The 13,162-nt window shown below is 37.5% G+C and overlaps 1 protein-coding gene across 19 annotated transcripts in view; it reads left to right on the top strand.

Moving 5' to 3' along the window:
* Positions 1 to 12,554, top strand: part of ZNF782 (zinc finger protein 782) — a 117,643-nt gene extending 105,089 nt beyond the window's left edge. For 14 of the 19 annotated variants that reach the window (XM_047422874.1, XM_011518315.3, XM_047422870.1 and 11 more), the window contains 2 exons: positions 1,537 to 1,638; positions 8,940 to 12,449. In XM_047422874.1, coding sequence (XP_047278830.1) covers positions 9,092 to 10,795 — 1,704 coding nt within the window. In that variant the 5' untranslated portion in view covers positions 1,537 to 1,638; positions 8,940 to 9,091 and the 3' untranslated portion in view covers positions 10,796 to 12,449. Of the gene's footprint in view, positions 1 to 1,536; positions 1,639 to 8,939 lie in introns of all 19 variants that reach the window. The other 5 variants (XR_007061256.1, XR_007061255.1, XR_007061254.1 and 2 more) reach the window with 1 other exon arrangement.
* Positions 12,555 to 13,162: the final 608 nt, after the last annotated feature.

Raw genomic sequence — 13,162 nt, 5'->3', positions numbered from 1 at the left:
ATGTTAGACTACAAATTTATTTAACCACAGGTCACAGATAACTCTGTTTATTATTTTCCAGTCTCTCTATGTGTTGCCCAGGCTGGTCTTGAACTCCCAGCTTCAGGCAGTCCTCCTGCCCCACCCTCCCAAAAAACTGGGATTACAGGTGTCACTGTGCCTGGCCATATGGGCCATTTCTTATTTGGTTGTTACTGATTGATTTTTCTCCTTGATAAGAGTCTTGTATCACTGCTTCTGTTCATACCTAGTAATTTTGTGTTGGGTGCTAGATATTGTGAATTTTACATTGTGAGTTGCTAGATTTTGTTGTATTCTTTTACATATTTCTGAGCCTTTTCTGGGATGTAGTTAAGTTACTTGGAATTAGTTCGATCATTTCAAGGTACACTTTAAGCTTTGTTGTGTTGGATTCAGAGCTCACTTTAGAACTAATTTGGCCCCTCTACTAAAGCAGTACCGTTCTGGTTATTCTACCCTGTTGGTCATTAATTAGGAGGTTTTCTACCCTGGTTGGTGATGATATAAACTTCCTGCCTTTGTGTATGCTGTAGTGATTTTTCAGCCTATTCTTTTTCACTGGTCTTTTCCTAACCTTGAGTGATTCTCTTATATGCTTATACAGGTCAGTACTCAGGAGACCCTTCTGCAGATCTCCAACATTTTATATCAGTATAGCTCTTTCTTCGCTGGCATTTACTCCCACAAATTCTAGTTGCCAGGGCTTCCTTAAACATCCAATTTTGTCACATCAGCTTGCCAAGTCTGCCAGGCTCTGTTTTGGTATTCTTTTTCCGCTCTGGTTTGGCAACTCTCTCACAAGTAGCCTGTGATAATCATAGGGCTCACCTCATTGTTTCTCTACTTTCAAGGATCCCTGTCTGCACTGCCTCTTGGCTAAAACCTAATTACCATTTTTTATATTTTGTTTGGTTTTTTAGTTGTCTGTTATGGAAATCAGTTCCTTTTACCCTGTTACAGCCAGATATGGAAGTCCTTATGAAATCTCTTCCTCAATAACCAAGACATTGGCCATTTTAGAATTTTATGTTACTTAGGTGTGCAGTTCAGGGGTTCAAGGAGATTGATCATTTATGAGAATAAGAAAATGTTTTTTGGCCAGGTACAGTGGCTTATGCCACCGTACTTTGGGAGGCCAGGGTGAGACGATTGCTTGAGGCCAGGAATTCGACTCTATCTTTACAAAAAAACTTTAAAAAATTAGCCGGGTATGGTGGTGCACACCTGTAGTCCCAGCTACTCAGGAGGCTGAGGCAGAAGGATTACCTGAGCCCAGGAGTTTGAGGCTGCAGTGAGCCATGGTGGCACCACTGCACTTCAGCCTGAGTGACATAGGGACCCTGTCTCTAAAAAAAAAAGTAAGAAAAGAAAGAAAATGTTTTTTGTGGTTACTTCCCCAAGGAAGGTCCAGTGAGCACCCTGAATATGCCCCTTCTGAAGCTGTACCTTCTTCACATTCAGAAACAGTAGAACCTATGCAACTAATGCAAATGCTAAATTGTTTCCCATTTATAGGCTACTGCTTTACAAAACCAGAACTGATCTTCACATTGGAACAAGGAGAAGATCCATGGTTATTAGAGAAAGAGAAAGGATTTCTAAGCAGGAACTCCCCAGGTGAGTTACTGAATTCAACAAGAAGAAGGTTCTCTGATTCACTAGGAGTACTCACACAACTCAGCGTATAGTCATAATAATGGTTAAAATTTATACACTGAAAAAATACAAACAAAAATCAGCAGAGATAAAAGGTGCATGGGGCAAAGTTCGTAGGAAACAAGCTACAAGCTTCTGAGAGTTCAGATAGTTCCCCAAGCACAGTTTCCTAAACAATGAATTTTGAAAACATATGTAAAATGTTGTCTACCCAGAACTGGTGCCCAGGGTTTTTATTGTGGGCTAATCATGTAGACACCCTCTGTCTAGCATCTGCCAAAATTACAGACTGTGAGATGGAAAACTGGTGTTCCCTATCATATTGTTTGTGCAGGGCTGGCACGGTGAGCCCCTCGGCAGTTATGAGAATCTTGTTTCTAGATGCCAGCCAAGGGCAAACCTTACAAGAAAGCCTTTCTAAGAGTAGCAGTCTCAGGCCTGCTGAATCAACTCTTTTATTTATTTATTTATTTACTTATTTATTTTATTATTATTATACTTTAAGTTTTAGGGTACATGTGCACAATGTGCAGGTTAGTACATATGTATACATGTGCCATGCTGGTGCGCTGCACCCACTAACTCATCATCTAGCATTAGGTATATCTCCCAAAGCTATCCCTTCCCCCTCCCCCAACCCCACAACAGTCCCCAGAGTGTGATGTTCCCCTTCCTGTGTCCATGTGTTCTCATTGTTCAATTCCCACCTATGAGTGAGAATATGCGGTGTTTGGTTTTTTGTTCTTGCGATAGTTTACTGAGAATGATGATTTCCAATTTCATCCATGTCCCTACAAAGGACATGAACTCATCATTTTTAATGGCTGCATAGTATTCCATGGTGTATATGTGCCACATTTTCTTAATCCAGTCTATCATTGTTGGACATTTGGGTTGGTTCCAAGTCTTTGCTATTGTGAATAATGCCACAATAAACATACATGTGCATGTGTCTTTATAACAGCATGATTTATAGTCCTTTGGGTATATACCCAGTAATGGGATGGCTGGCTCAAATGGTATTTCTAGTTCTAGATCCCTGAGGAATTGCCACACTGACTTCCACAATGGTTGAACTAGTTTACAGTCCCACCAACAGTGTAAAAGTGTTCCTATTTCTCCACATCCTCTCCAGCACCTGTTGTTTCCTGACTTTTTAATGATTGCCATTCTAACTGGTGTGAGATGGTATCTCATTGTGGTTTTGATTTGCATTTCTCTGATGGCCAGTGATGGTGAGCATTTTTTCATGTGTCTTTTGGCTGCATAAATGTCTTCTTTTGAGAAGTGTCTGTTCATGTCCTTTGCCCACTTTTTGATGGGGTTGTTTTTTTCTTGTAAATTTGAGTTCTTTGTAGATTCTGGATATTAGCCCTTTGTCAGATGAGTAGGTTGCGAAAATTTTCTCCCATTTTGTAGGTTGTCTGTTCACTCTGATGGTAGTTTCTTTTGCTGTGCAGAAGCTCTTTAGTTTAATTAGATCCCATTTGTCAATTTTGGCTTTTGTTGCCATTGCTTTTGGTGTTTTAGACATGAAATCCTTGCCCATGCCTATGTCCTGAATGGTAATGCCTAGGTTTTCTTCTAGGGTTTTGATGGTTTCAGGTCTAACGTTTAAGTCTTTAATCCATCTTGAATTGATTTTTGTATAAGGTGTAAGGAAGGGATCCAGTTTCAGCTTTCTACATATGGCTAGCCAGTTTTCCCAGCACCATTTATTAAATAGGGAATCCTTTCCCCATTGCTTGTTTTTCTCAGGTTTGTCAAAGATCAGATAGTTGTAGATATGCGGCGTTATTTCTGAGGGCTCTGTTCTGTTCCATTGATCTATATCTCTGTTTTGGTACCAGTACCATGCTGTTTTGGTTACTGTAGCCTTGTAGTATGGTTTGAAGTCAGGTAGTGTGATGCCTCCAGCTTTGTTCTTTTTGCTTAGGATTGACTTGGCGATGCGGGCTCTTTTTTGGTTCCATATGAACTTTAAAGTAGTTTTTTCCAATTCTGTGAAGAAAGTCATTGGTAGCTTGATGGGGATGGCATTGAATCTATAAATGACCTTGGGCAGTATGGCCATTTTCACCATATTGATTCTTCCTACCCATGAGCATGGAATGTTCTTCCATTTGTTTGTATCCTCTTTTATTTCCTTGAGCAGTGGTTTGTAGTTCTCCTTGAAGAGGTCCTTCACATCCCTTGTAAGTTGGATTCCTAGGTATTTTATTCTCTTTGAAGCAGTTGTGAATGGGAGTTCACTCATGATTTGGCTCTCTGTTTGTCTGTTATTGGTGTATAAGAATGCTTGTGATTTTTGTACATTGATTTTGTATCCTGAGACTTTGCTGAAGTTGCTTATCAGCTTAAGGAGATTTTGGGCTGAGACAATGGGGTTTTCTAGATATACAATCATGTCGTCTGCAAACAGGGACAATTTGACTTCCTCTTTTCCTAATTGAATACCCTTTATTTCCTTCTCCTGCCTAATTGCCCTGGCCAGAACTTCCAACACTATGTTGAATAGGAGTGGTGAGAGAGGTCATCCTTGTCTTGTGCCAGTTTTCAAAGGGAATGCTTCCAGTTTTTGCCCATTCAGTATGATATTGGCTGTGGGTTTGTCATAGATAGCTCTTATTATTTTGAGATATGTCCCATCAATACCTAATTTATTGAGAGTTTTTAGCATGAAGGGTTGTTGAATTTTGTCAAAGGCCTTTTCTGCATCTATTGAGATAATCATGTGGTTTTTGTCTTTGGTTCTGTTTATATGCTGGATCACATTTATTGATTTGCGTATATTGAACCAGCCTTGCATCCCAGGGATGAAGCCCACTTGATCATGGTGGATAAGCTTTTTGATGTGCTGCTGGATTCGGTTTGCCAGTATTTTATTGAGGATTTTTGCATCAATGTTCATCAAGGATATTGGTCTAAAATTCTCTTTTTTGGTTGTGTCTCTGCCTGGCTTTGGTATCAGGATGATGCTGGCCTCATAAAATGAGTTAGGGAGGACTCCCTCTTTTTCTGTTGATTGGAATAGTTTCAGAAGGAATGGTACCAGTTCCTCCTTGTATCTCTGGTAGAATTCGGCTGTGAATCTGTCTGGTCCTGGACTCTTTTTGGTTGGTAAGCTATTGATTATTGCCACAATTTCAGCTCCTGTTATTGGTCTATGAATCAACTCTTATCTACACAAAAGCTATGCAGATCCCTGGCATAACGTAGAGTAAGACAAACATATTTGCCATATCAACTAATGTTAAGTGGATTAAATTCACCTATTAAGAGAAAATGCTATTAGATTTTGTTAAAGAGGTATATTTTAAAAATAATTTGAGAAGTTCAAAATACGGTTATGAATTGCTAAGGCAATAAACTAAAATAATTCAGTGTTTATTTGCTTTAAATTCCTACCTCTATAGCGTAATCTTGGAATACTTTACCCTATACTTTATCTCTTCTGTTTGTAAACTCAATAACACTAAAGTTAAATTCAGGTCAAAAAACAGAGAAGAGAAAGGGCATTTTGATAATGCTAAAATAGACAGTTTTAAAAGGATATTTTAAAAGTAGAGAACTTTAAAATATATTTAAGAGTTTTGAATATTTGTGCACTAAATTTTCATCAGGTGTCATAAAACAAAAAACTGCAAGTGTTCTGAGGAAAAATGGAAACATATTAGGTCACATAGACTTTAATTTACCTCTTTGATTTCATACCAGAGCCAGTGGATCACAACTGAGTTCCTAGACTAGTGCTCAGCAAATGAGGACACAGGTGAAATTCTACCTGCTGCCTATTTTGGTCAGGAAATATTTTTCTAGAACACAGCCATAGCTATTCATTTATGTGCTCATGCTACGAGGTAGAATTGAGTAGTTACAACAGAGACCACATGATCAGCCCAGTGGAAAACATTTACTCTCTGGCCTTTTACAGAAAAAGTTTACTGACTCCTGCTCTAGAAGTTATAAATAACATATTTTATAAAAATGAATCTGATGTGTCTTTCACAACTCTGCTCTGGAAACAGAATGAACCCTTTTTAAAATGACCATGGGACCCTGACAAAATATAAAAGTATTTTGTGCAAAAATGAATAAATCCACAAAGATATTATTGTCCAGTAAAACTGCAAATTGCAAACAATGTAAGAAGAATTAAAGTCTATCTTAAACTCAATAAGGAATATATATCTTTAAAAACATATTTAATCAAAGAGTAAATGAAAATCAAAATTGTCTAATATCCAGAAAATTTCAAAGATAAAAAACATGCATATTAGAACCTTTGGGATATAGATAAAGCAGTGCTTAGAAAAACTTTTAGTCTTATATTAGTCTTATGTACTTGTTTTTAAAAGTGAAAAAGTTTTCAAAGAAAACTAAGCAAAGCAAAAGATGTAATAAAAATAAGACTATATTAGTATAAATTTTAAAGCCAAAAGCGGTTCTTGCAATAAAAATAACTGAATAAAATAGTCTCAATTCGAAAAAGGGGGAAAGCACTATTACTCAAAGTTTTGATTTAAATTCCTACTTCTGTGGTATAGTTTGAAATACTTTAGTGTATGCCTTATCTCTTCTTTTTGTAAACTCACAACCTACTTGATAGATGTGTTAAAAGAAAATGAAACACTGTGCCAGAGAGCACATAGCTATGAATGTGCTCCATTCCCACCTGGATTATAACCCACTAAAAAGAATGGTCTCTGCTTTACTCTTCTATATATTGAGTCCATGCAATATAACATGTAAGTATTTTTAATAATATTGTGTATTAACTTCAAAGCCACTCGGGAGAGGTGTTTCATATTGATTCATTCAAAAAACATGATCCCTAAATGCAAACACCCCAGTCAAATTTCTGAGACTTTTGAATAATCAGGTGTAGGTTAGCATTGAGTCTGAGCACTTGTGTAGGAAAGAGGAGGTAATTTTGAGGCACACTGCTTTTTAACAGTCACTGTCTTCATATAAATTACAGAGAGATATAAAGTATATCAGAACGAAGGTTATATTTTGGAAAGGAGAACAAAGCTGAATAAAATAATTAATGCTGTTGATTAAAAAGTGAACTATTGGCCAGGCGCGGTGGCTTACGCCTGTAATCCCAGCACTTTGGAAGGCTAAGGTGGGCAGATCACGAGGTCAGAAGATCGAGACCATCCTGGCTAACATGGTGAAACCCCATCTCTACTAAAAACACAAAAAATTAGCCGGGTATGGTGGTGGGCACCTGTAGTCCCAGCTACTCAGGAGGCTGAGAATGGTGTGAACCCGGGAGGTGAAGCTTGCAGTGAGCCGAGATCGCACCACTGCACTCCAGCCTGGGTGACAGATCAAGGACTCTGTCTCAAGAAAAAAAAAAAAAAAAGTGAACTATTATTTGACGTACAACTAAGAAAGAGAAAATGCCATTTAACCATGCACGTGCCGTAAGTTTTAAAATGCTTCCTAATTTGAATGATGATAATTTTTTCTTAAAAAATCATGAGTGTCAGATATATGAGTACTATCCATATATTCCTTGTTAAAATGAATACTATAGACAGTAACTACTTTCAGATTTTAAATAAATGTTCCTTATATTTGTGGGAAGACACAAGAAGCCTTTTGTATGTGTGTGTAATTTGGGAAATGCTTTGCATTGCCTGAAGGACATCTAGAGTCTACATAGGTCTAAGGCTAAAAAGCAGAGTGATTCAGAGAAAGAATATAAGATTATTGCTGAAAATATACTATTTACTGGTGATATCCTGTCAAGACTAGAGCAGAAAAGACTGTGGGCTGTTGCAGTGAGAGCTACAACATGTAATGAGCCTACAGTTAGTGTAAAACCTTCTTTTCCTGAATATCTGTTAGGGCACTAAGGCAGTATATTTAAGGCCTTGGAATATTTTTAGCACAAGGCTGACATTTTTGCATGGAATGCGGGTAGCAGTAGGGCAATAGCAGTCAAATATACACAGGAAATCTATGATAAATAAATATAAAGGATATGTGTAAAGTTTCTAAGTCCAGGTTAAAATATATGATCCGTAAGGTTCACATAGTCAATAAAAACTAGCAATGTTAAAAAGTAGATTGAAAGCAGAATTAAGGATTGGACAAAGACAAAGCTGGTTTTAGGGAAATGAGTGAGCAAACTGAAAAGACAAAAGTTAAGATTTGATGATCTAAAAAGATTCACTATTGGCCGGATGTGGTGGCTCATGCCTGTAATCCTAGCACTTTGGGAGGCCAAGACAGGTGGATCACCTGAGATCAGGAGTTCGAGACCAGCCTGGCCAACATGGCAAAACCCTGTATCTACTAAAAATACAAAAATTAGCCGGGCATGGTGGCACATGCCTGTAATCCCAGCTACTCGGGAGGCTGAGACAGGAGAATCACTTGAACCCAGGAGGCAGAAGTTGCAGTGAGCCAAGATCACGCCACTATACTCCAGCCTGGGCGACAGAGCAAGACTCTATCTCAAAAAAAAGAAAAAAAAAAAAAAAAGATTCACTATTGAACAACCCTGACATAATAAACCAAGTCACCAGAGCTAGGGCAGAGCAGTGAATCCAGTCTAGGTGGAAAAATGACTTTAACTCCCATCAATTTTACATTTCCACTTACACATGTGTGTTCCTTTGATGATAATGCAGACAGAATTAAAATGTTGTCTATAGTAGTATTTCTTTTAACATGAGGAAATTGGTGTCATTATAAATTTCTTTTGTGATGTGTAGAATGGAAATGGAGCTCCAACTGAACTATTGCAGGCTAATGATTATCCTACCATTGTAATTTATATTTGTATAAGAATCTAGACTAGCGTTACTCCCTACGGCAAACCCTGTCTCAGATAAAACCACTAATCCATTGATTTTTGTTGTTGTTATCTACTTCATGTTGGTAATCTTTTTTTATTCATCCCATTCTCTGATTTTCCTGTTCCCAGGATCCAATGCTCTTACGTATACACCATTCTCAGTCATTTTGTTGATTTATATCCTCTTCTCTATTCAGTTTTGAAAATTCTATTTTAAGATGCCAAATATGTATATATATTCATTTCCCATTTCTTTTTCTACTACAAAAAAAAATTTAAGCTAAAAAGGGAATATGGGGAATATGTACTTGAAATTACTTTATTGTTGAGAAACTGAGCCAGAAACTAAGGAATCAAATACATAATAGGGCATATATATACATATATGTCCCATTCCATAAGAAATGTGTTAAATATCATAAAGTTTGTTTAATTTTATCATTTTTAGAAGACTCCCAACCTGATGAAATCTCAGAGAAGAGCCCAGAAAATCAAGGCAAACATTTGTTGCAAGTTTTATTCACCAATAAATTATTGACTACAGAGCAAGAAATTTCAGGAAAACCACATAATCGAGACATAAACATTTTTCGTGCAAGAATGATGCCTTGTAAATGTGACATTGCGGGGTCTGCTTGCCAGGGGCTCAGCCTGATGGCCCCACACTGTCAGTATTCAAAAGAAAAGGCTCATGAGCGTAATGTTTGTGACAAATGGCTCATCAGTATTAAGGATGGCAGAACTAACACTCAAGAGAAATCTTTCGCTTATAGTAAAATTGTGAAAACCCTCCATCATAAGGAGGAAGTTATTCAACATCAGACAATTCAGACTCTGGGGCAAGATTTTGAATATAATGAAAGTAGAAAAGCTTTTCTTGAAAAGGCTGCCCTTGTTACATCTAACAGTACCCACCCAAAAGGAAAATCTTACAATTTCAATAAATTTGGGGAAAACAAATATGATAAATCAACCTTTATTATTCCTCAGAACATGAATCCAGAGAAGAGTCACTATGAGTTTAATGATACTGGAAATTGTTTCTGTAGAATCACTCACAAAACTCTCACAGGAGGGAAATCCTTCAGCCAAAAGTCACACATTAGAGAACATCATAGAGTTCATATAGGGGTGAAACCCTTTGAATATGGAAAAAGTTTCAACCGTAATTCAACCCTCCCAGTGCATCAGAGAACTCATGCAACAGATAAATACTCTGATTATCACCCATGTACAGAGACATTCAGCTACCAGTCAACTTTCAGTGTACATCAGAAGGTTCACATAAGGGCAAAACCCTATGAGTATAATGAATGTGGGAAATCCTGCTCTATGAATTCACACTTGATTTGGCCTCAGAAAAGTCACACAGGGGAGAAACCCTATGAATGTCCTGAGTGCGGGAAAGCCTTCAGTGAGAAGTCACGCCTAAGAAAACATCAGAGAACTCACACGGGAGAGAAACCATACAAATGTGATGGATGTGATAAAGCTTTCAGTGCAAAGTCAGGCCTAAGAATACACCAGAGAACCCACACAGGGGAGAAACCATTCGAATGTCATGAATGTGGGAAATCTTTTAACTATAAGTCAATCCTCATAGTGCATCAGAGAACTCACACAGGGGAGAAACCTTTTGAATGTAATGAATGCGGGAAATCTTTCAGCCATATGTCAGGCCTAAGGAATCACCGAAGAACTCACACAGGGGAAAGACCATATAAATGTGATGAATGTGGGAAAGCTTTCAAACTGAAGTCAGGCCTGAGGAAACATCATAGAACACACACAGGGGAGAAGCCCTACAAATGTAATCAGTGTGGAAAAGCTTTCGGTCAGAAATCACAACTCAGAGGACATCATAGAATTCACACAGGGGAAAAACCCTATAAATGTAATCATTGTGGGGAAGCTTTCAGTCAGAAATCAAACCTCAGAGTACATCACAGAACTCATACTGGGGAGAAACCCTATCAATGTGAGGAGTGTGGAAAAACATTCAGGCAGAAATCAAATCTCAGAGGGCATCAGAGAACTCACACTGGGGAGAAGCCCTATGAATGTAATGAATGTGGAAAAGCTTTCAGTGAGAAGTCAGTCCTAAGAAAACATCAGCGAACTCACACCGGGGAGAAACCATATAATTGTAATCAGTGTGGGGAAGCTTTCAGTCAGAAATCCAATCTCAGAGTACATCAGAGAACTCACACAGGGGAGAAACCCTATAAATGTGATAAATGTGGGAGAACTTTCAGTCAAAAATCAAGCCTTAGAGAACATCAGAAAGCCCACCCAGGGGATTAAATGTATGCATATAAAGAATACGAAAAAACTCTGAGCTGGAAATCAAACCTCACAATACATAAATGAACACACAGGAGAGAACTGTTAACATAGTGAGCACTGGAATTTCCTCTACAATTTCAGCCTCCACCAAATATCAAAGAATAGAAGATAAATTGTTGAAATCTATTTTATATGGGCATTCTTTCAGCCAGAGCCCAGTCTTCTATGGATATACAGAACTCACACAGCAAAGAAACCCTATAAACATAATGAATATGGAAAATACTCTTGCGAACTCACTCCTCAGAAAACTCACGCTGCAGAAAAGCTCTGAGAAAGTAATAAAAATGTGAAAACTTTGTGCCAACAATCAAAACTCATTCACCATCAGAGAAATCACACAATGACAAAAGCTAGAATATAATAAGTGTGTGATAAACTTTAATGAAAAGTCAGTACAGCAGAAAATACATTCAAGATAGAGACCTCATAGTATATTAAAACAAACAAGAAATGAAGTTAATGGATGTGGGAAATTCTTCTGCCATGTCAACCCTCATTTTAACCTACACAGAGGTAATCCCTATATGTCGTATAATAACTATTGAAATGTTCACTAGTAATCATTTTCACTTCTCCCTCATGCCACACCTGGCCTAAATTTCTCAACCACTCTCTCATCTAAACGGGGTCATATTGTTACCCTCTAGCTAGTGGAATATGGGGTCAGTGACAGGTCTTAAATACATCAGTCAAATTCTCAATATTTTCTTCTATCCCTCATTAGAATGGAATGGAGGAAAACCTTGGGACTCAGGCTCTGATGATGGAAAGTACAAGATGGTAGGAACCCGGGTCAGAGAAGGATCCTGTGGCATGGAGTTTTCTCCTCCCTGTACACAGTTGGACTTCTTGCAGTGAGGAAATAAATGTGTTCCCTGCTGAACTTCTAAAGGTTTGGGTATACTTGATACTGACAGAAACTCAACAACCCTCACATAATAAAACTTAGGAGTATGATTTTTCAGGACATCTGAACTCAGTGTATGTCAGAAAAGTCACATAGGACAAATCTCGGACAGCATCCTGAATGACCATGGCTTTTATCCCCAAAGTCTTCCTCATCAGACAGGTAATATCATAAGAAATCTGACATTTTAACAAATATAGGAAATTCTTCACACACACAGACACACACTCACACATACACACCCAAAGTCTCATTAAATATATGATAATTTAGTTTTGAATGTGTAAAAGTTTTCAACAAATTATCATATTTTATATCAGAGCTTGTTACAAGGAGAAAATCTATCAATTTGAGAAAGGTAAGTAATAGCCTTTATCTAGATATTGCTTTATCAGAACTGTTGTTTCACATATAATATCAAAACTTTTAATGAAATATAAGACATTCACTATAATAAAAAGCTTAAAAAGAACAAAAAATAAACTGCATAAACTGAAAAGCAGTGTTGCAAATATGTGAATGTTTTGTGAGTTATTGATTGTTTATGTATGTATATATGCATGGTACTTACCAGGTATTTGTTTTATGTTTCTTAGACCTCAACATTGCTGTAAAAGAATTGTGTTCCCCTTGCTTTATAACTACTTTGACATCAGCTACAATTTGCCACATGAATATTAATAACAAACCTTTTACAGAAAATATCTGATACCACATTCCCTTTCTCCTGCTGCCTTCTAACATGTCTGTCTAGTAAAGGCCATTGTTACTAAACTGCCTTTTTTCAAAGAAGCCAGTGTCAACCAATATATTTCTCTCTCTCTTTTTTTCTATGTGTGTCTCTCACACACAAATACACAAGCAAATATATATATATATATCTTCAACATCACTGATTCTTTCCTAGCAGTGTTGAGTATAATAATGGACCTTTGGAAGGCATTCTTCATTTATGGTACTGTGTTTTTCATTTTTAGCATTGTAATTTTATTATAGTTTTTATCTCTCTGCCACAGTTACCTACCTGATACTGCATGTTGTCTAGTTTTCCCACTGGAGTCACTTTATATGGCATTTGGCATTCTTTCTCTCAGTTAAAAAACTGCTTGGATCTTTGTTTCTCTCTACAACCACCTAGTTTTCCAGATAGCTTTTTGCCCTGTGGCTTCAGATATTTGGTGCATTGAAGAAAAGTTAAAGTCTTCCCAACTATTTTCTTGTTTTATGAATAGAAGCAGTGCTCTTGCCTGCTATTTCTCTGAGTTGTAACTGAACATCATCAGTTGTTTTTTGACAAATGTTCCAGGGTAATTTGATGGGAAAATGATGATTGTTTTCAAAAATGATGCCGCTGGGCGCAGTGGCTCACGCCTGTCATCCCAGCACTTTCGGAGGCCGAGGCAGGCGGATCACAA

This window comes from Homo sapiens, chromosome 9 (assembly GCF_000001405.40).
Source record: "Homo sapiens chromosome 9, GRCh38.p14 Primary Assembly".
NCBI classification, from domain to species: Eukaryota; Metazoa; Chordata; class Mammalia; order Primates; family Hominidae; genus Homo; species Homo sapiens.
This window is presented reverse-complemented; position numbering and strand designations above follow the sequence as displayed.